The following is a 24,322-nucleotide window of genomic DNA, read 5'->3' on the forward strand; positions in this document are numbered from 1 at the left end:
TATTTATATATAATATATATTTATACTCCTTTGCTTGCAATCAAATATAAATATATACACATGTGTATATATACGCATATATATACACATGTGTATATGTGTATATATACACGTGTATATATGTGTATATATATACACGTGTATATATATGTGTATATATACACGTGTATATATATGTGTATGTATATACACGTGTATATATACGTGTATGTATACACACGTGTATATATACGTGTATGTATATACATGTGTATATATATGTGTATGTATATACACGTGTATATACACATTTGTGTATGTGGGGTATATGTATGTGTATACATACATATATCGATATATATGTTTATACATACATATATCGATATATATGTATTGTACATATATATCGATATATATGTATAATACATATATATCGATATATATGTACAATACATATATATCGATATATATGTATAAACATATATATCGATATATGTATTATACATATATATCGATATATGTATTATACATATCTCGATATATGTATTATACATATCTCGATATATGTATAGATATATGTATAATACATATATCGATGTATATGTATTATACATATATCGATGTATATGTATTATACAGATATCGATGTATATGTATTATACAGATATCGATGTATATGTATTATACAGATATACGTATACGTATATATATATAAACACAACGTACACAAATGTATTTATATATACACACTTACACAAATATATATGTATCCCTGATTAAGTATCTGAACATTGTTACTTAGATCTCTGAGAGAAATGAGACTGAGTCAGGGTTGAGTTGGGAGAGATTATTTATCATTTCCATTTCTGCCTCACTCCTGGTTTCTCTTCTCTTTCTGCAGTAGACTCCTCCTCCTTTTTGACTGCACCAGGTACTCTGAATTGTGGCGTGCACGTCTGACAAAGCCATGGCAAAGCACAACTGTCTTTCCAGGAATTAAGCCCTTCCTGTGAATTCATATGTCAATCCAGTTAAATTGTTAAATTCCAACCACTTTACTCAAAAGCCATTTATTCAAATATATTTATAAAGCAAGCAACAAAACCACCCACTGTCAGATGCTCACACATATGCATACTTGGACACCTCACCAGCCCGTGCTGACCTGACAGTAGGCAAGGCTGCTATATTTTACATTACTTGAAATGCAATAATTAATGCCTGTTAAAAGAGGGAAAAAAAGACATCACTACCGTGCAACAAATTACTGAAATCAGTATGTCTAATTTTTCAAGACTCAGTGCTGAAAGGAAGATCCCTGCTATAAGTTAATATGATGTGGCTGTCGCTACTTACACTTGCCAGCACCATGATATCAACAAATGGCTTTTTGTCTTTCTAACAAGGAGACAGTCTTCACTGGAATTCCTAGACAGAGGTGAGCTAGATAATTCTAGTGGAGATTTTAATCACTTATGTCCTAGTTTTTGAGATTTGCATGTCTTTTTCTAGTTGAATTTAGTTGTTTGGTTTTGGTTTTGAATTCAGGATGAAATGCACTCACATATCAGGATTAAGTCCCCTTTTTTTCTCTTTCTGCATAGATCTTCACTTCTGTCTACCCTGGTCGACTATGCAAACTTTAATCCTTTCCCATGTCTACTGTGATATAAGTAGTATTCTCTTTATTTTTCACTTGAAGGAAAGGGTGTTCCGAGTGGCTGACATTTCCAAATGCAGAAAGTGATTTAAGGGAGAGGCCAGGCTTGATTCCCTAGCCTCTACCCAATTTCTCCCTCTGGACTCACAATGTGGTTTTATAAAAATAAAAATGTATTAAAAGAATATACTCTTGGCAGACAGTGAACCCAGTCCTGGAGTTCTAACTGCACAATTTAAATTGACAGCAGTGGGAATTCTTTATACACAAGAGTCAATTAAAATTATGAAATTGGGCCCAGGGTAGGTTCAGGGACATTAACATTCAAAAACACTTTGACATTTGCAATAGAAGTGGGCCAGGCATTCCCTTCAGGATGCCTCTGAGTTCATCATTTAAACTTGCCCCTCTTTTCTCCTGATTTCAAAATAAGGATCTCAATGCCCTCACTTCATCTTCCAGGGCTGATTAGCTAGCTAATGGACCGTCTTTCCATGTTTTCAGTTTTCTCATATTTCAGTAAATGTACCAGACTTGTATTGCCAGTTGCTCTGCAGAAAACTCTGGTTTCTGAGTTTTTTCCTTAAAACACAAAAATATTCATCTCTCTTCACTATTTTTTTTAGTAATTGCATGCCCATGTTAATCTTCTAATCACTGACAAAGTTCTAGTCCATTAAAACCGGTACTGCACTTTGCTTCCAAATTCCTCCAGCTTCTCAGCTGGAGCCACCTCAGTATCAGGGGCCAGTGAGAAATTGTGTCTCTGAAGCCACAGGTCTCTCCCTGGTCTGTAGGCACTGATTCCTCTGCCTTGCCAAAGAGAGGAACATCATTTTACCAGCTGCACAGAGACTTTCCACCTGTTGCCTTCTCTTTTCTCTTGTACAGATGCTTCTTCACCATCTGTACAAATCACTCCATGTGACATGGGGTATGTATTTGAAGTAAGAGGGAAGGACACAGCAGTTCTCCTTCTTGTCTGTTCTAATCTTCAACACTAATTGGTTAACTATGTTTATTATATTATTATGATATCATACACAGAGAAGTGGAAAGTTTTGAGATGTCAGAAAATGAGTATCGATGAAAATGTCAAGACCAACCAGAAACACTTGTGAGTGCGCCTGTGTGTGCGCACCCACACAAGTGTGTGTGATTTACTCATCAGCAACTATTTATTGAGCATTGATAACTTTTGTCAGTCATATTGGAGAGCATCACATAAGGATGTATAAAATATGGCCGTGACCTCCAGGACTTTAGAATTAATTTGCAATTAGGAATCCCATCTGGTTGCAAAGCAATGAGTAATATATCGCCCAGATTTAGGAAAACTTAATTTCATCAAAGATGAAAAAGCAACTTAGGGCTGTTTCTTGTGAAATGACTCTTTGCCCTCTCAAGGCAAATAGCAATAAGGCCAAAATTTGCAATAAGAATGCAGTAAATAAAAATCTAGTCCTCTTAAAGCCATCAAAGTTGTGGAAAAGTCATTGAGTTAGGTACAAATTCTAATCTGACTGCTGCTAAGAGCTGCATGCATCCCAGTGAGTAACAGAAAAGACGTCCCTATCTCTCTCCCTTTCTGTGTATATGTACACACATATGTACATATATAGTATAGATTAAAATATTACATAATTTATATTTAAATTATATATAATTATACATAATTATAGGTAACAATAAAATTCTATATGTACAATTGTAAATATAATATTTGTTGCTAGTAGAAATTTTAAAAGCTAATTCACTTCTGAAGAAAATCAACTAAATTACCTGGTCTTTTCACTATATATTGATTAACAAACAAACAAGCCAAAATGACCCTGGCAGCTAATAGCTAGGTTGTAATGTTCCCTACTGAACATAATTTTTTTTTTTTTTTTTTGGAGACAGAGTCTCAATCTGTTGCCCAGGCTGGAGTTCAGTGGCACGATCTCGGCTCACCACAACCTTCGCCTCCTGGGTTCAAGCAATTCTCCTGCCTTAGCCTCCCAAGTAGATGGGACTGCAGGCACGCGCCACCATGCCTGGATAATTTTTGTATTTTTAGTGGAGACGGGATTTCACTATGTTTGTTAGGCAGGTCTCGAACTCCTGACCTCTTTATCTGCCTGCCTCAGCCTCCCAAAGTGTTGGGATTACAGGTGTGAGCCACCGTGCCTGGCCTGAACATAAACTTTTTCACAGAATGTCCCAAATAATTAAATGAGCTGACTCTGTGACTGTGGTAAAATAGGATGAAAACAAGGCCACACTGGAATCATGCCTGACCAGAAGGCAAAGACAAGGATGTCACACAACCACAAAAACAACCAAATGTCTTCCTCTGTTGGCCAACATCAGTAATTAGCTCATCATTGACCATTCTAGCTCAGCTTCATTTCTTCTGACTTTTAGATAAAAATCTTTAAAATATCCAATCTCCAAATGCCACTCTTTCAAGAAAGCACCTAAAATTATTGTCAACCTCTCACTTCCTTAAACCCCTCACCAAAAACACCCAGTAGAAGCTTGAATCCCACAACAAGCCTGTCCCAAGAGCCTCTTGCTGAGATATACCTTGGGCGTGCTTCCCCTTACTACAGAAAGTTTATAAACCTAACTTAAACTGCAGATATATTTCTGGTGAGCATTGGCTGGAGTATTCAACAATATATGCAGTATACAAAACTATTTTTTAACAAAATAAGGATTATAAGTACCTTTTTTTTTTTAACAATTCTTAATTTGCTAGTCTTTGAAAAGCTTTTTGTTTGTTTGTTTTTGGTTTGTTTTTGTTTTTGTTTTTTTGAGACGAGATCTCCCTCTATCACCCAGGCTGGAGTGCCGTGGCATGATCACGGCTGACTGCAACCTCCGCCTCTCTGGCTCAAGAGAACAGATGATTTTTAATGCCTGCTTAGTATTGTATTGTACAAATGTTATTCCCTTTAAAAATATATAAAATGCCTAAATTAAACAAAAATTTCGTGCTTGACAATTTACATAGTATACCACAAAATTGTCTTACTGTAATTTTTATTCATGCAACAGACATTCCACAAGTTATATAGTATTTTGCTGATTATAAACATGAGAGAACAAAATTCAGAAGGATTACAGCACAGCACTAATTGACAATACTAGAAATTCATTCCATGTATTTAGTTTTGTTTATGCTATGCGGTCTGATATCTCTTTTAGCATTGAAGTTCTTTAGGGTCTAGCTTGTCTTTTTATATACAGTATATATTAAAATCCAGTTTTTATATTATAATTTTGCTAATAAATATATCCATGTTTCCTAAATCTCACGTCAAATTAAAAATTCCTCTGCAGTGGTTTAGGACTGCAAGTGTGGCAAGATAATTTATTGTATTATGATATTGTATTATGATAACAGTATAAAATGTAAGACAATATAGACTTGGGTGCCAGGCAGCCTGGGTTAGAATCCTGGCTCCACCACTTAATTGTTTGGGTGGACATAGGCATTTTAATGAATGTATTTGTTCCTCAGTTTCTCGTCGTGAAAATACAGAAGGTGGCATTTTTCACAATATTGTTGCCATATTAATTAAACATATGTAAAGTGTTACAAATGGTGCCTGGGGCTCAGTGATGGATGCGCTAGCAGTTAGTATTTTTCCTCTTTCCCTATTTAAATCAAATAGCCAGAATTTGTTCTCCTTTGTTGCTTAGTAGATGCATGCAGTCAATGGAATTTCCCAATCTTTCAGAAAATCTCTACTGATTGAAGATATTAAGTTAGATGGTCCAAAGAGAGAGGAGACAGGGGGATTCCTTGGAGGGCTTCAGGAAGGGAGAAGAGAGCTGGGCAAACTCTTTTTTGTTGTGGGAACAATTCTCATACTTGGGCATTGTACTGGGAAAACACCTAGGTGGAATAAAGAAAGAAATGCCCCACATGTTCTAAGACAGCGGGACCTTTGCAACATCCTGGAACATTGAGGAGAACCAGTCCCCTCTGAGGTTGAATTTCCCACCAACTGAATGCGAAGGGACTCTGAAACATACTTAATTGGATTTAAAGACAATTTTAAAAATCACATTTTCCACACTAGAGATTTGGTTTAGAAATTCCTACTTGCTAAATAAGCTAAAACTTTCATATTTGGCAACAAACTCAATTTCTAAAGACATTGCAAATTGTCTCATGTCTAACACACAGGTGAGTGCAGTGGTTTGAACACTGGAGCTAGAATTATACACCTCGCGCGTGATGCTGATTCCTTCCGTGACCTCCAGGGAATGACCTGGCTGCTCCCTGGTTCCTTTCTCCATCCACTGACCGAATACAAATGTCCACTTCCCACAGGATAGGAATCACCTTGTCTCTGGGACCTCACATAAAGAGTCCTGTGCATATCCGAAATGGAATTGTCTAAATAAGGGTGTCTAAAATGAATTCAGGTTCTTCCACATGGAATTACCACAGGGATTCCCTCATGAATTTGGATAAAGAGAGAAAGACAAAAGGCAGTGAACAACTTTGTAGGCTCAAGTAGTGTCCTAGGGCCGGCTGAGGAAATATACTGGTACAATCATCAGGCTTCCTCTTGACTTCAGGATTTATTATTTGTTATTCAATAAATTTTAAACATATAAGAAGTGCTGCTAAGTGTCACACAATGCAGTGGCTTACTTTCAATGTCACGTTAAAAGAAATACATGAAGAATATGAGCCTTAGGAAATAATAACAGGATAACACCTATGTATTTACCCCAAAGTGAATCTGCCCATGAAGTGGTGCCCGTTAAATTCAGTTCAGAGAAATAAAAGCAGTGGAATCAAGATTTTTATAGTTGTCACTCCCTGTAAAACATAATTTCTGGGATTTTGATATCATCTATTAAAGACAAAGTCAAGCAAAAACATGTAAAAAGAGTTTCATTTAAATCGATGGCAGCAAATTGTACCTTCATGATTATTGTTATGGTTAATTCATTTTGTTGCCAATAAAGCTTGGCCTCTGGCCTCAAAAGCCCACACTACCCCACTTCCAATCTCCAGATCAAGGGCCGAGGGTCTCAGGCGCATGCTGGTCCAGGGAGTTTCAGTTCTGATGGAGTGGAGGCATTAACGCTGCAGGTTTTTTTTTTTTTAATTATTATTATACTTTAAGTTTTAGGGTACATGTACAAATGTGCAGGTTAGTTACACATGTATACATGTGCCATGCTGGTGTGCTGCACCCATTAACTCGTCATTTAGCACTAGGTATATCTCCTAATGCTATCCCTCCCCCCTCCCCCCACGCCACAACAGTCCCCAGAGAGTGATGTTCCCCTTCCTGTGTCCATGTGTTCTCATTGTTCAATTCCCACCTATGAGTGAGAACATGCGGTGTTTGGTTTTTTGTCCTTGCAATGCTTTACTGAGAATGATGATTTCCAATTTCATCCATGTCCCTACAAAGGACATGAACTCATCATTTTTTATGGCTGCATGGTATTCCATGGTGTATATGTGCCACATTTTCTTAATCCAGTCTATCATTGTTGGACATTTGGGTTGGTTCTGAGTCTTTGCTGTTGTGAATAGTGCCGCAATAAACATACGTGTGCATATGTCTTTATAGCAGCATGATTTATAGCCCTTTGGGTATATACCCAGTAATGGGATGGCTGGGTCAAATGGTATTTCTAGTTCTAGATCCCTGAGGAATCGCCACACTGACTTCCACAATGGTTGAACTAGTTTACAGTCCCACCAACAGTGTAAAAGTCTTCCTATTTCTCCACATCCTCTCCAGCACCTGTTGTTTCCTGACGTTTTAATGATTGCCATTCTAACTGGTGTGAGATGGTATCTCGTTGTGGTTTTGATTTGCATTTCTCTGATGGCCAGTGATGGTGAGCATTTTTTCATGTTTTTTAGCTGCATAAATGTCTTCTTTTGAGAAGTGTCTTTTCATGTGCTTCACCCACTTTTTGATGGGGTTGTTTGTTTTTTTCTTGTAAATTTGTTTGAGTTCATTGTAGATTCTGGATATTAGCCCTTGGTCAGATGAGTAGGTTGCAAAAATTTTCTCCCATTTTGTAGGTTGCCTGTTCACTCTGATGGTAGTTTCTTTTGCTGTGCAGAAGCTCTTTAGTTTAATTAGATCCCATTTGTCAATTTTGGCTTTTGTTGCCATTGCTTTTGGTGTTTTAGCCATGAAGTCCTTGCCCATGCCTATGTCCTGAATGGTAATGCCTAGGTTTTCTTCTAGGGTTTTTATGGTTTTAGGTCTAACGTTTAAGTCTTTAATCCATCTTGAATTAATTTTTGTATAAGGTGTAAGGAAGGGATCCAGTTTCAGCTTTCTACATATGGCTAGCCAGTTGTCCTAGCACCATTTATTAAATAGGGAATCCTTTCCCCATTGCTTGTTTTTGTCAGGTTTGTCAAAGATCAGATAGTTGTAGATATGTGGCGTTATTTCTGAGGGCTCTGTTCTGTTCCATTGATCTATATCTCTGTTTTGGTACCAGTACCATGCTGTTTTGGTTACTGTAGCCTTGTAGTATAGTTTGAAGTCAGGTAGCATGATGCCTCCAGCTTTGTTCTTTTGGCTTAGGATTGACTTGGCGATGCAGGCTCCACCGATCCCACAGAAATACAAACTACCATCAGAGAATACTACAAACACCTCTACGCAAATAAACTAGAAAATCTAGAAGAAATGGATAAATTCCTTGACACATACACCCTCCCAAGACTAAACTAGGAAGAAGTTGAATCTCTGAATAGACCAATAACAGGCTGTGAAATTGTGGCAATAATCAATAGCTTATCAACAAAAACAGTCCAGGACCAGATGGATTCACAGCTGAATTCTACCAGAGGTTCAAGGAGGAACTGGTATGATTCCTTCTGAAACTATTCCAATCAATAGAAAAAGAGGGAATCCTCCCTAACTCATTTGATGAGGGCAGCATCATCCTGATACCAAAGCCTGGCAGAGACACAACCAAAAAAGAGAAATTTAGACCAATATCCTTGATGAACATTGATGCAAAAATCCTCAATAAAATACTGGCAAACCGAATCCAGCAGCACATGAAAAAGCTTATCCACCATGATCAAGTAGGCTTCATCCCTGGGATGCAAGGCTGGTTCAATATACGCAAATCAATAAATGTAATCCAGCATATAAACAGAACCAAAGACAAAAACCACATGATTATCTCAACAGATGCAGAAAAGGCCTTTGACAAAATTCAACAACCCTTCATGCTAAAAACTCTCAATAAATTAGGTATTGATGGGACGTATCTCAAAATAATAAGAGCTATCTATGACAAACCCACAGCCAATATCATACTGAATGGGCAAAAACTGGAAGCATTCCCTTTGAAAACTGGCACAAGACAGGGATGCCCTCTCTCACCACTCCTATTCAACATAGTGTTGGAAGTTCTGGCCAGGGCAATTAGGCAAGTGAAGGAAATAAAGGGTATTCAATTAGGAAAACAGGAAGTCAAATTATCCCTGTTTGCAGATGATAAGATTGTATATCTAGAAAACCCCATTGTCTCAGCCCAAAATCTCCTTAAGCTGATAAGCAACTTCAGCAAAGTCTCAGGATACAAAATCAACGTACAAAAATCACAAGCATTCTTATACACCAGTAACAGACAAACAGAGAGCCAAATCATGAGTGAACTCCCATTCACAATTGCTTCAAAGAGAATAAAATACCTAGGAATCCAACTTACAAGGGACATGAAGGACCTCTTCAAGGAGAACTACAAACCACTGCTCAATGAAATAAAAGAGGATACAAACAAATGGAAGAACATCCCATGCTCATGGGTAGGAAGAATCAATATCGTGAAAATGGACATACTGCCCAAGGTAATTTATAGATTCAATGCCATCCCCATCAAGCTAGCAATGACTTTCTTCACAGAATTGGAAAAAACTACTTTAAAGTTCATATGCAGTTGTTAATATGGCAATTTTGTTACAACAGTGCCTCCACTCCAAATATATATGTTCCTCTTTTTTAACCAGAGCTTTTTAAAATTTTATTTATTTATTTATTTTAGATATGGAGTCTCTGTCACCCAGGCTGGAGTGCAGTTCCCTGATCATAGCTCACAGCAGCCTCAAACTCTGGGGTTCAAGCAATCCTCCCACTTCAGCCTCCCAAGTAGCTGAGACTACAGGCAAGCACCATCATGTGCAGCTAATTTTTAAAAACTTTTATAGAGACAGGGTCTCTCTATATTGCCCAGCCTGGTCTCAAACTCCTGGCCTCATGTGAGATCCTCCTGCCTCGGCCTCCCAAAGCATTGGGATTACAGGCATGAGCCACAGTGCTCAGCCCCTTCCTTGTTTTACTCAAGGGAAATGATTGGGGTGAGAAAATGTATTTCAGTGAATCCTTGCGTATTTGAAGAATATTTTTCTTTATAAGGTCTATACATTCTGAAAAAAAACCCACTTTATTAAAAGTAAATATTTTGAAAGATACAAACTACAACAATTGTTAAAAATGAAGGATTCTGATGAGCTGTATACTCTGCTTCACCGAGAAGCATGTGCTGCATGAGATGGACGCAGATAGAGATGCAGGCCGAGGAGCGCGGGGGATTTTATTCCCCTCAGAGCCTGCTGACGATATCATCCCTGCCCACCCCTTGATCTTGAACTTCTGGCCCTAGAAGTATGAGAGAATACAGTTCTGTTATTTTAGGCCACCAAGTTTGTGGTATTTATTATAGCAGTCCTAGGCAATGAATATTCTAAATACTCTCAGGTGAGATATTATCATGTTTTTTTCTTATTCATTATGAAAAAAAAAGTTGAAATGTGAACATGTCAATTGGCCCCTCAATTTCTTTTTGGAATGAGGTGGGTTATTTCTAATAAATAAAATTCAATGGGCTGTGTGTCTCTGTCCTAAAAAATTGTGTTTAATTTTGTGTACCTATTTTATTAAGTATAATTAAAGAGTAATTTGTGCATTTCAACAAGCTACATTTCCATTTCCTAAGTCTAGGTGTCTCTCAGCAATTTGGAAATTATCAGCAAATCAATTAAATCATAAGTCTATAAATTTAGAGTTATAATTCAGAGAGCAGCAGGGTTTAAAATGAAATATCTAAGGCTATGAATCTAGCATTTTATGTCAAAGACAGTTAAGCAGTTCAGTTGAGGAGACTTCTACACAGCGTAACTGTTAAGATGGGGGAACTCAGAGGACTCTAGAATCATTCTGTCTGAATCAAAATTCGGGCTCCATTATTTTTAGCTGTGAGAACATAGACAAGTCAATTAACCTCTCTGCTTCAATTCCCATTTTGGTAAATATGGAAATAGTGCCTATTTCATTGGGCTATTGTAAGGATTAAATGTGTGAGTACATGTAAAGCACTTCATAACAGCACCCAGCATGAATTAAGCACTGGATAAATATTAAGTATTATTAGGTTGACTATGTAATTTACCTTGCACACCTGGAGAATTATGAGTGTGCATAACACACTACTATCATTGGCCCTGAAATCATCTAGGGAAGCCCGAACCATGCGATAACCGGCATTTTAGTAGATGTACGGACTGAAAGAGTTCGTCTTAAAGGGTCTAACATAATTATGGGTACAGTTTCATTTACTCTTTTAGAAAGTCCTTATGGAATTCTAAATCTGCTGTCCCTTACCTGTAATTCTGAAATTCAAAATTCGTTGAACTCCAAAAGTTTTGCTATCTTTTGTTTGTTTATTTGTTTTGTTTTTCATAAAACTGTTAAACAGTAAACTGGGACAACTTAATATTCTCTGTTTTATTTGCTAAGACTATTGTTGTGCTCCACAGCCTGCAATATTAATGTATTTAACTCAGGGGGCAGCCTGAAGCCCAGTTAGGTACACTTTAATACCCTTCATATATATATACACACATATATATACACATTTTAGAGTGTGTTATAAGTTTAGAATACACACACACACGTGCACACACACACACATACACACATATATATATATTCTAAACTTATAACACACTCTAAAGAAGGTTTCTGTTAAGGAAATGTGAACTTGTACTTGGGTTTATTTACATGTGACAAACAACAATTTTTGTTATATTTCTATTATATAAATTTGCCTATTTACGGGACATTTTAATAATTAAAAATAAGTTAGACCAAGTCTGCATCAAAAAACTTAAATTAGTGCAGGAGATAGGCACATGAGTTCTTACCTGTGATATAAAACATATTGCACAGCTGTTCAATGGAAATGCAAATACTGAGCTTTGGGCATGGGAACATATGAGGGAGGACTGAATGAAAGAGGAGCCATCTCACCCATGTTGAAATTCACCTAAGTCTTGAAATGGACTTAATTAGGATTTTATTGGTTCCATAAAAAGTTGGTGGTGGGGAAATTTTGGGTTTAGGAGACTGAAAACACATGATATATCCATGTCCTGGCAAGTGGTATGACGGAAGCAAAAGACAATGGCTGGTGGTTAACATCTACTGGAAAGATTAATTTCTGATGCTGGGGAGAAAAACATTATTTCAACTCTCTTAGAAGACAATTCCTTCCTCTTTTAATTGAGAGATAAAAAGGGATTAGTAGACATTGTGTGTGAAATATTTATTTTCTAGTAAAATCACACATTTTGAATGGCAGACTGTGGTGTCTCAGATTTGATCCCTTGGGACTGCAGAGAGATAAATAACACAAGTGTAAAACATTAAGAGCCTGGGGCCACCATCATTTCTTGGAAGATATGGGGAATTTAATGAGCAACATTGCTTCTCAGGATGGAGAGAGCGTAAGGTAACCTCCTCATCTGTTACAGTGACCCAGTGAGAGCCGAAGTCTTCGGGGGTGAAGGGGTGGCTTTCTGTTTTTGGAAACATTAAAGCATCCCAGTTCCTGCCTAGTAAATACAGTATATAAGAGGATGCTTTATCTATTGTACCAAGGATATCTATGTGCTCGAAGCCCAGATTGCCTTACAGTCACTGATATTGGTCCACATATGTCATGCATTGTAATCTGAGTTGAGAAAGAAGAAAGAAAAGAAAGAAAGAAAGAAAGAAAGAAAGAGAAAGAAGAAAGAAAGAAAGAAAGAAGGAAGGAAGGAAGGAAAGAAAGAAAGAAAGAAAGAAAGAAAGAAAGAAAGAAAGAAAGAAAGAAAGAAAGAAAGAAAGAGAAAACGGGCTAGGTGTAGTGGCTCATGACTGTAACCCCAGCACTTTGGGAGGCCAAGGCAAGGCATGTGGCTCACAAGGTCAGGAGTTCGAGACCCGCCTGGCCAATATGGTGAAACCCTGTCTCTACTAAAAATACAAAAGTTAGCGGGGTGTGGTGATGGTCACCTGTAATCTCAGCTACTCACGAGGCTGAGGCAGGAAAATTGCTCAAACCCGGGAGGTGGAGGTTGCAGTGAGCCAAGATCACGCCACTGCACTACAGCCTGGGCGACAGAGTGAGGCTCTGCCTCAAAACAAAAAAACAAAACAAAACAAAAACAAACAAAAAACAAATATATGCATTAGCTGAACCTTTTTCAATTTGAAGGGTTTTCATTTAACTTAAAAAGTATTAATAAGATTAATAAGGTCATGGGTATGATAATTGAGTATTCAGTATTGAAATCAAGGTGTCTTAAAGAATCCTGAAGATGCATGCAGCATGATCTCAAAAGGAGTTGCCACTGGGAATTAGAAAACCCAGACTCTTTCTTGTCTGCATCAACTTCTTTCTTTTGTCTGGGCAAACTGGCTGTCTTTGCCTCTCAGTCCTCATGGTGAAAGATAGCTAACCTATGTGTCCAAATTGCATCAGTCTTTCACCATCAGCTACACTCAAGATGTTAGTTTGGCTCTGTGTCCCCACTCAAATCTCATTTCAAATTGTAATCCCCACATGTTGAAAGAGAGATCTGGTGCAAGGTGATTGGATCATGGGGGCCGTTTCCCCCATGCCGTTCTTGTGATAGTGAGCAAATTCTCACGAGAGCTGATGGTTTTAAAGTGTGGCACTTCTCACTGTCTCATGCCTGCTGTCATGTAAGATGTGCTTTGCTTCCCCTTCGCCTTCCGCTATGATTGTAAGTTTCCTGAGGCCTCCCTGGTCATGCGGAACTGTATGTCAATTAAACCTCTTTTTCTTTACAAATTACCCAGTCTCAAGTAGTATCTTTATAGCAGTGTGAAAATGGACTAATACACAAGATTAACTAGTTTTCTCTGAATACCATTCTCAAAATCTGGAGAGAGCTCATCCAGCTGCTTCAGTTAGGTTGACACTAGTGGAAGCCCTGAAACTAGTCAGCTTTGCCAGAGGCATGGAGGGCAGGATAGTATCATGTAAATATGTCTATTCATCTGCTTACAGATATATGGAAGGCAGAGAAGATGTTTGAGGCGGCTAGACATCTGAATAGTACCTTGCAAAGTATTAACTAAAAGTATATTTTAAAATTATTTGCTTATTTGCTTATTAGGAGGTGTGATACTAAAAGTACATTTTATCTTTTGCAGAATCCTCACGGTGTTTCTAAGTCGATTTATTGTGAATTGTTGCTGGTGACCTCAGGTTTTGGTGGCGGACAAACCTGAATGCCATTCTGGCTCTGTTATTGTGGGCTGTGTATTTTTGACCAAAGTCTTTAATCCATTATAGTCTCAGTTTCCTCATCTGTAAAATGATAAAAACTGCATCCACCATATAGGGTTCTAACATGAATAAAATGAGAAAATGCAAATAATCCACCAAACTAAAATACTCGACACGTACGTGGCAAAATGTAAGCACACAATAAACAGTAATTATTAAAAATATTATTTATTTTACATACATTTTATGATTGCAATAAATTATTGCACCCAAGAGTACTAGCATTGGCGTTGTACATCATGATCACCTTATGGGGGTTGCTTATGCTAGTAGGATCTGATTGGCTCACACTAATTCTATTCCCTGTCTATGTCTATTGTAGAACTCATCCTAGAAATAAAGGAAAATAAACGATAATAAAATGGAAGAGTCACTTTGGCAGGCAAGCACAGGCTGCAATCCATATTTTCCTGTTAAATATTGCAAGAAAAGCAGATCGTCAAAATTCAGATAGAAACCGAAATCCCCAATCCACTCTATTGACTCACTGACATTATCACAAAGGGAGTGTGTGATGACCCTTCACCAAATGAGCTCGACCCAGAGCGTGAAGGAGATAACATCGAGTAAGCATTTTTTAAAGGGAAAATGTCTTTTACACTCAATAAGCTTTGAGCTATGACCAAAAAAAAAAAAAAAAAAGAAAGAAAGAATAAAAGATAGAAAGGACAGGCATAACCACTGGTTTCTGTTGCTTTGTGCTACAGGATGCAGTGCCAAGACAAATCATCAGGTCTTGGGGTGAATGTTTAGTTATCATGGATGATGCGTGCCGTCGGCCACAGTGACAGATTGTTGCTAGTACTGGTCCTGAGTGTGACTAATAAGGCTGCTCGTCTATGACAGAGTGGGAATGGCACCACTAAGAGTGAAAGGAGGCGATTCTACTAAAATCCATTAAGGTTGTTCCTTGGTGGGAAAAAATGGTATAAGTAAGTACCAGGAGTAGAAGAGTCAGTTCACAAGCTTTAGCCACATTGATCAAAGATGGCCAGGTTCCACTCAGCAGAAGGGTCCTCTTAACAATGAACAAGCCCGGATTTCTCCTCTCCTTCCACAATGACATATGTTCATTAAGCAGCACTATGTATGCACAAGTGCATATGCTTGCATGTATTTTTATCTATATGAATAAAAGAAAAAATTAATATGATAATAAATTTGCCATTGAGTACATGTTTGTTTTAAAATTTGTCAAATCTCAGGTTCAAAAAGAAAAAAGGAGAGAGAGGGTCAATCTCTGGCCTATTAACAGATGTGTCTAACATTTAGATACTAGAGCCAGAGTTTTATATGACACAGAATGAAAATATATTCTCCTATGACAGTATATCACTCATCACCATTAAAATGCAATAAAACTGTACAACGGGAAAAAGGAAACACTTGAAAAGTTGGATGAGGCTGGGCCATATATTAAGAGTTAGGATCTGAGAGTTATGTTTCTGATTAAGCAAGTATCAGAAGACTTAACGAGGGTAAGATATATCCTTTTCCATCTTTCAGAGGTTCAGATATTGGAATGTGTCCTTCTAAAATCACACAACTCTTGTTATTGATACCCGATTCAGACACACTGACAGCACAGAACTTGCTACTCTATTAGAAGGCAAAATAGTAGGTACTTGCAAGGTGCTGTTACTGATCAGTTGCCTTGTGTAATCGATGTGGACTTTTCAATACTATCTTGAGAAATGTCAATACTATCTTAACGCAATTGCCTCTCAAGGGTGGTAAAGTCTTGTAAAACAAAACCTTTAGTGACAACATTATCATTCATGAGGATCTATCTACAAGATGCTAGTTGAGTATCTATTTGTTCCAGATAAGATTCTCTGCCTAGAGTAAATAGAAACCTATTGGTCCAGACCTTTAATTTTATGCTGATACTGTGGAATCATTTCCTTTAGAAATAATTATTATTTTACTATATTTACTTGTCTCTCTTTTTTTCTAGGTTCAGTTAGGATAATTTTGCAATGGAAATAATAATCTACACCTCTATGACAATTTACAGTTTGCAAAGTATTGTTTGGTTTCATTTGAGCATTACAGGTTTTAAAATACATTGGACTCTTCCAATACTTTTCCCTTTTCTTTTTATCCAAGAGGTAATTAACGTCTGGGAGAAAGGATGGAGAAACATAGAGGATCCCCATGCTCAACGAATAGAGTGAGTGGTCTGAGGTTTAGGATTTGCTCCCTGTTAGGGTAAATGCTGGGGCACGTAAAGTGTTAATTGCATGTATTTCTACTTTTCTTTTTTTTATTTTATTATTATTATACTTTAAGTTTTAGGGTACATGTGCACAATGTGCAGGTTAGTTACATATGTATACATGAGCCATGCTGGTGTGCTGCACCCATTAACTCGTCACTTAGCATTAGGTATATCTCCTAATGCTATCCCTCCCCCCTACCCCCACCCCACAACAGTCCCCAGAGTGTGATGTTCCCCTTCCTGTGTCCATGTGTTCTCATTGTTCAATTCCCACCTATGAGTGAGAATATGCGGTGTTTGGTTTTTTGTTCTTGCGATAGTTTACTGAGAATGATGATTTCCAATTTCATCCATGTCCCTACAAAAGGACATGAACTCATCATTTTTTATGGCTGCATAGTATTCCATGGTGTATATGTGCCACATTTTCTTAATCCAGTCTATCATTGTTGGACATTTGGGTTGATTCCAAGTCTTTGCTATTGTGAATAGTGCCGCAATAAACATATGTGTGCATGTGTCTTTCTAGCAGCATGATTTATAGTCCTTTGGGTATATACCCAGTAACGGGATGGCTGGGTCAAATGGTATTTCTAGTTCTAGATCCCTGAGGAATTGCCACACTAACTTCCACAATGGTTGAACTAGTTTACAGTCCCACCAACAGTGTAAAGGTGTTCCTATTTCTCCACATCCTCTCCAGCACCTGTTGTTTCTTGACTTTTTAATGATTACCATTCTAACTGGTGTGAGATGATATCTCATTGTGGTTTTGATTTGCATTTCTCTGATGGCCAGTGATGGTGAGCATTTTTTCATGTGTTTTTTGGCTGCATAAATGTCCTCTTTTGGGAAGTGTCTGTTCACATCCTTCGCCCACTTTTTGATGGGGTTGTTTGTTTTTTTCTTGTAAATTTGTTTGAGTTCATTGTAGATTCTGGATATTAGCCCTTTGTCAGATGAGTAGGTTGCGAAAATTTTCTCCCGTTTTGTAGGTTGCCTGTTGACTCTGATGGTAGTTTCTTTTGCTGTGCAGAAACTCTTTAGTTTAATTAGACCCCATTTGTCAATTTTGGCTTTTGTTGCCATTGCTTTCTGTGTTTTAGCCATGAAGTCCTTGCCCATGCCTATGTCCTGAATGGTAATGCCTAGGTTTTCTTCTAGGGTTTTTATGGTTTTAGGTCTAACGTTTAAGTCTTTAATCCATCTTGAATTAATTTTTGTATAAGGCGTAAGGAAGGGATCCAGTTTCAGCTTTCTACATATGGCTAGCCAGTTTTCCCAGCACCATTTATTAAATAGGGAATCCTTTCCCCATTGCTTGTTTTTGTCAGGTTTGTCAAAGATCAGATAGTTGTAGATATGTGGCGTTATTTCTGAGGGCTCTGTTCTGTTCCATTGATCTATGTCTCTGTTTTGGTACCAGTACCATGCTGTTTTGGTTACTGTAGCCTTGTAGTATAGTTTGAAGTCAGGTAGCGTGATGCCTCCAGCTTTGTTCTTTTGGCTTAGGATTGACTTGGCGATGTGGGCTCTTTTTTGCTTCCATATGAACTTTAAAGTAGTTTTTTCCAATTCTGTGAAGAAATTCATTGCTAGCTTGATGGGGATGGCATTGAATCTATAAATTACCTTGGGCAGTATGGCCATTTTCACGGTATTGATTCTTCCTACCCATGAGCATGGGATGTTCTTCCATTTGTTTGTATCCTCTTTTATTTCATTGAGCAGTGGTTTGTAGTTCTCCTTGAAGAGGTCCTTCACATCCCTTGTAAGTTGGATTCCTAGGTATTTTATTCTCTTTGAAGCAATTGTGAATGGGAGTTCACTCATGATTTGGCTCTCTGTTTGTCTGTTATTGGTGTATAAGAATGCTTGTGATTTTTGTACGTTGATTTTGTATCCTGAGACTTTGCTGAAGTTGCTTATCAGCTTAAGGAGATTTTGGGCTGAGACGGTGGGGTTTTCTAGATATACAATCATGTCATCTGCAAACAGGGACAATTTGACTTCCTCTTTTCCTGATTGAATACCCTTTATTTCCTTCTCCTGCCTAATTGCCCTGGCCAGAACTTCCAACACTATGTTGAATAGGAGTGGTGAGAGAGGGCATCCCTGTCTTGTGCCAGTTTTCAAAGGGAATGCTTCCAGTTTTTGCCCATTCAGTATGATATTGGCTGTGGGTTTGTCATAGATAGTTCTTACTATTTTGAGATACGTCCCTTCAATACCTAATTTATTGAGAATTTTTAGCATGAAGGGTTGAATTTTGTCAAAGGCCTTTTCTGCATCTGTTGAGATAATCATGTGGTTTTTGTCTTTGGTTCTGTTTATATGCTGGATTACATTTATTGATTTGCGTATATTGAACCAGCCTTGCATACCAGGGATGAAGCCCACTTGATCATGGTGGATAAGCTTTTTGATGTGCTGCTGGATTCGGTTTGCCAGTATTTTATTGAGGATTTTTGCATCAATGTTCATCAAGGATATTGGTTTAAAATTCTCTTTTTTGGTTGTGTCTCTGCCTGGCTTTGGTATCAGGATGATGCTGGCCTCATCAAATGAGTTAGGGAGGATTCCCTCTTTTTCTATTGACTGGAATAGTTTCAGAAGGAATGGTACCAGTTCCTCCTTGAACCTCTGGTAGAATTCGGCTGTGAATCCGTCTGCTCCTGGACTCTTTTTGGTTGGTAAGCTATTGATTATTGCCACAATTTCAGAGTCTGTTATTGGTCTATTCAGAGATTCAGCATCTTCCTGGTTTAGTCTTGGGAGAGTGTATGTGTCGAGGAATTTTTCCATTTCCTCTAGTTTTTCTAGTTTATTTGTGTAGAGGTGTTTGTAGTATTCTCTGATGGTAGTTTGTATTTCTGTGGGATAAGTGGTGATATCCCCTGTATCACTTTGTATTGAGTGTATTTGATTCTTCTCTCTTTTCTTCTTTATTAGTCTTGCTAGCGGTCTATCAATTTTGCTGATCCTTTCAAAAAACCAGCTCCTGGATTCATTAATTTTTTGAAGGGTTTTTTGTGTCTCTATTTCCTTCAGTTCTGCTCTGATTTTAGTTATTTCTTGCCTTCTGCTAGCTTTTGAATGTGTTTGTTCTTGCTTTTGTAGTTCTTTTAATTGTGATGTTAGGGTGTCCATTTTGGATCTTTCCTGCTTTCTCTTGTGGGCATTTAGTGCTATAAATTTCCCTCTACACACTGCTTTGAATGTGTCCCAGAGATTGTGGTATGTTGTCTCTTTGTTCTCATTGGTTTCAAAGAACATCTTTATTTCTGCCTTCATTTCGTTATGTACCCAGTAGTCATTCAGGAGCAGGTTGATCAGTTTCCATGTAGTTGAGCGGTTTTGAGTGAGTTTCTTAATCCTGAGTTCTAGTTTGATTGCACTGTGGTCTGAGAGATAGTTTGTTATAATTTCTGTTCTTTTACATTTGCTGAGGAGAGCTTTAGTTCCAACTATGTGGTCAATTTTGGAATAGGTGTGGTGTGGTGCTGAAAAAAATGTATATTCTGTTGATTTGGGGTGGAGAGTTCTGTAGATGTCTATTAGGTCCGCTTGGTGCAGAGCTGAGTTCAATTCCTGGGTATCCTTGTTAACTTTCTGTCTTGTTGATCTGTCTAATATTGACAGTGGGGTGTTAAAGTCTCCCATTATTATTGTGTGGGAGTCTAAGTCTCTTTGTAGGTCACTCAGGACTTGCTTTATGAATCTGGGTGCTGCTGTATTGGGTGCATATATATTTAGGATAGTTAGCTCTTCTTGTTGAATTGATCCCTTTACCATTATGTAATGGCCTTCTTTGTCTCTTTTGATCTTTGTTGGTTTAAAGTCTGTTTTATCAGAGACTAGGATTGCAACCCCTGCCTTTTTTTGTTTTCCATTTGCTTGGTAGATCTTCCTCCATCCTTTTATTTTGAGCCTATGTGTGTCTCTGCATGTGAGATGGGTTTCCTGAATACAGCACACTGATGTGTCCTGACTCTTTATCCAATTTGCCAGTCTGTGTCTTTTAATTGGAACATTTAGTCCATTTACATTTAAAGTTAATATTGTTATGTGTGAAATTGATCCTGTCATTATGATGTTAGCTGATTATTTTGCTCGTTAGTTGATGCAGTTTATTCCTAGCCTCGATGGTTTTTACAATTTGGCATGATTTTTCAGTGGCTGGTACCGGTTGTTCCTTTCCATGTTTAGTGCTTCCTTCAGGAGCTCTTTTATGGCAGGCCTGGTGGTGACAAAATCTCTCAGCATTTGCTTGTCTGTAAAGTATTTTATTTCTCCTTCACTTATGAAGCTTAGTTTGGCTGGATATGAAATTCTGGGTTGAAAATTCTTTTCTTTAAGAATGTTGAATATTGGCCTCCACTCTCTTCTGGCTTGTAGAGTTTCTGCCAAGGGATCCGCTGTTAGTCTGATGGGCTTCCCTTTGTGGGTAACCTGACCTTTCTCTCTGGCTGCCTTTAACATTTTTTCCTTTATTTCAACTTTGGTGAATCTGACAATTATGTGTCTTGGAGTTGCTCTTCTCGAGGAGTATCTTTGTGGCGTTCTCTGTATTTCCTGAATCTGAATGTTGGCCTGCCTTGCTAGATTGGGGAAGTTCTCCTGGATAATATCCTGCAGAGTGTTTTCCAACTTGGTTCCATTCTCCCCGTCACTTTCAGGTACACCAATCAGACGTAGATTTGGTCTTTTCACATAGTCCCATATTTCTTGGAAGCTTTGTTCGTTTCTTTTTATTCTTTTTTCTCTAAACTTCCCTTCTAGCTTCATTTCATTCATTTCATCTTCCATCACTGATAGCCTTCCTTCCAGTCGATGGCATCGGCTCCTGAGGCTTCTGCATTCTTCACATAGTTCTCGAGCCTTGGCTTTCAGCTCCATCAGCTCCTTTAAGCCCTTCTCTGTATTGGTTATTCTAGTTATACAATCGTCTAAATTTTTTTTTAAGTTTTTAACTTCTTTGCCTTTGGTTTGAATTTCCTCCTGTAGCTCGGAGTAGTTTGATCGTCTGAAGCCTTCTTCTCTCAATTCGTCAAAGTCATTCTCCGTCCAGCTTTGTTCCGTTGCTGGTGAGGAACTGCGTTCCTTTGGAGGAGGAGAGGCGCTCTGCTTTTTAGAGTTTCCAGTTTTTCTGCTCTGTTTTTTCCCCATCTTTGTGGTTTTATCTACTTTTGTTCTTTGATGATGGTGATGTACAGATTAGGCCAGCATCTAATAGATGAAGTTTGTATTTTGCCTAACTGATTGGTATGTGATGCTCACTTGTACCTACAGTAATATCAGTTTTCTTGCAGATCCGAAGTGTGATTAATAAAATACTAACACACATTATTAATTTGTTTGTACATTTCTTTATAAATACAGTGATAAACCTCATTCTTGTCAGATGCAGCCTTTTGTAACTGTAAGATAAGGTTATTTCGTTAAGCAAGCAATATGCAGGTGTCTTTTATTAAATACTAGTTTCTAAAGGTAGTATTTTGCCTAAAACTGTTTCTGTGGTAAACTGAGGAACATACTCAATTCTTATAAGCACATTTATCCAGTTTATTAAGCTCAAAATAATTGACATGTATTTAATATTTCAAGTGATAGAAGTATAAATATTTAGTTAAAATTTAAATAAATATAGGTTCATGAATGCACATGATTCTAAAAACCAGTATCTTATACAGAGTAATTACCAATCAATCAGTATCTAAACTGATAAATTAAATGGCCTGATTTCCATGTAATCACTAGATGCTGATTCATTCTTATGCTGTAGTTACCATGAAAGACAGTCACCCCCACTAAACCTTGTGGAAGCACACCTCAGGAGTTTAACATACATAGAAGCAGAAGATAGAAGGCGGACTGCAGAGAATGCCGGGCAATCTCATCTTGACCCTTTTCCATGCACTCACCATGGGTGGTCCAGGCATGAAAATGTGGAGGTTCTGGGTTGGAGTTATGGGTCAAAGATGGGACTTAACTCAAGTGTTGAAGATGGTCAGTGTGTCCATTTCAGTGTACATATATCTGTCTGGACTGTCTAGGCTGGTCATATGCATTGGCTATTCATTTATCTGGCGTCATTCTTAAACAAACTGCTAATCTTCAAACAAGAAGTGGGATTATAAATAATCCCACTAATCTTCAAACAAGGAGCAGGCTTTGGCCTTCTTGGAGGTAAGGCTGGTAGTGAGAGAGAGGCTTTCAGAGACCTCTTTTGAAACTTGGGCTCCAATTGCCTAGTGGTTTTCTACCTCCAAGTAACTTGCACCTTAGAGGAGGAGTCACCCCAGCATGGGACATATACCCCCACCAAATCCCTGACCAAAGTTCATTTTACAACTTTTAACTTAGGTTCCCCAGTCAGCCTCATCTTAGAGGTCTCCTCTGCCCTTCCCTCAGTGTTCCACGTGCTGCTAACATCGCCCTCTCTGTCTTTGGCCTGTTGGGCAGTGAGAGCTCCTATGAAGTAGCTCAGGGGCTAGTTACTCATCAGCCTGTGCAAAATTGTCATTAGAATTTTGTCACTGATTGAGTGACCTTGGGCAAATCCTGTAGACACTCTGAAACCCAGTTTCCTCATCAGTAAAGCAGAGAAAATAATAACACAGATGTTATTTTGTTGAAGGAAATAAGGACAGTGTTTAACACAAGTAAACTCTCAATAAATGGCATTTATTAACTTACTAAGTTATTAACATGACTCTATAAAATGTTGTAAATATATTTCTCCAAAGGTGAGTGTAGTGATTTTATTTTATTTTTATTAGATGCTTGGCATTTATTGAATAGAGCTAACACTTTTTAAATACGCATAAATAAATGTTGGGGAGAAAATCCCCAGTTGAACCAAAAAACTACCTAACAATTAATTTTATTAATTATAATTCAGTCACCTGCATTTAGAAAGCTTTAGATCATACAATAAATAGTAGAACCAATAATTATTTTCATTAAGTCTAATTTTTTACTGTTTTATTTTTTTCTTATGGAGTTATATAATTCAATTAATTATGCTTGGTTTTATTGGGCATACAGTTTGTTAGATTTCTTAAAGTCTTTGTTTTGCTGTTGAGACATGAGAGCCACTCTATAATATGAAGTGCTCTGTTTGTAAGATGCTATTTTTACAATACTTAGGAATAATTTCTTAGCTCCCTTGAAAGTCTATGACAATCCTGTTACTAGTGTTCAGAATCCCATATGTCATGGCCCTCTTCGACAATGTTTGCAATAGATTGATCAGACTGGGTCTTTTTAAACTGGCCAGCCTGGGGCACAAGCAGGGTTAGGATATAAAAGTCTTGGTTATTTAGTCTCTTAAACTCATGTAGCTGTTTTAACCATAACAGTTAAGAGGGTTTTCAGGAAGAGCCACAATGAGTTCACAGTAACTCATTTCAAATTTCATATATGACTATGTGGCACACCACGGAATTGATTCTCTTCTATAAGAGTTACTATTAGTTTTCCTCTTTGCAAACTCAAGCCTTGTTAAGTTTTTATTTGAAGTGGTAATAGTACTCTTTTCAAAGCCTCATTGGACAGGAATGTTCACAATCAACAATACATGACCTTATTGCTAAGACCATAGAATGTATTTGTAAAGTGTCCAAAGGGCTCACTTTTTTCAAAGAAAAGAGATCACTTTTAATCTGCTCTGAGAAGATCAGGTCATCATTCACTTTGAACCAACCTTGTTGTTCATTCTTGATGTTGTTACCCAGTATCAGGGATTTTTAGCCAAAGAAAAAACCATAAATGAAAACTCTAACACTGACTCAAAAAATATCTGTCAAAATGGACATTAA

The 24,322-nt window shown here is 37.7% G+C and overlaps 2 long non-coding RNA genes across 5 annotated transcripts in view; one reads left to right on the forward strand and one right to left on the reverse strand.

The window, feature by feature from the left end:
• Window positions 1-24,322, forward strand: part of LINC02253 (long intergenic non-protein coding RNA 2253) — a 197,799-nt gene that overhangs the window by 121,649 nt on the left and 51,828 nt on the right. The gene's annotated exons all lie outside the window — the stretch shown is intronic.
• Window positions 14,431-24,322, reverse strand: part of LINC02254 (long intergenic non-protein coding RNA 2254) — a 151,441-nt gene continuing 141,549 nt past the window's right edge. The window contains exon 5 of the long non-coding RNA NR_120324.1: window positions 14,431-15,401. This is a non-coding gene — a long non-coding RNA (long intergenic non-protein coding RNA 2254). The remainder of the gene's footprint in view (window positions 15,402-24,322) is intronic.

Source organism: Homo sapiens, chromosome 15, assembly GCF_000001405.40.
Source record: "Homo sapiens chromosome 15, GRCh38.p14 Primary Assembly".
NCBI classification, from domain to species: Eukaryota; Metazoa; Chordata; class Mammalia; order Primates; family Hominidae; genus Homo; species Homo sapiens.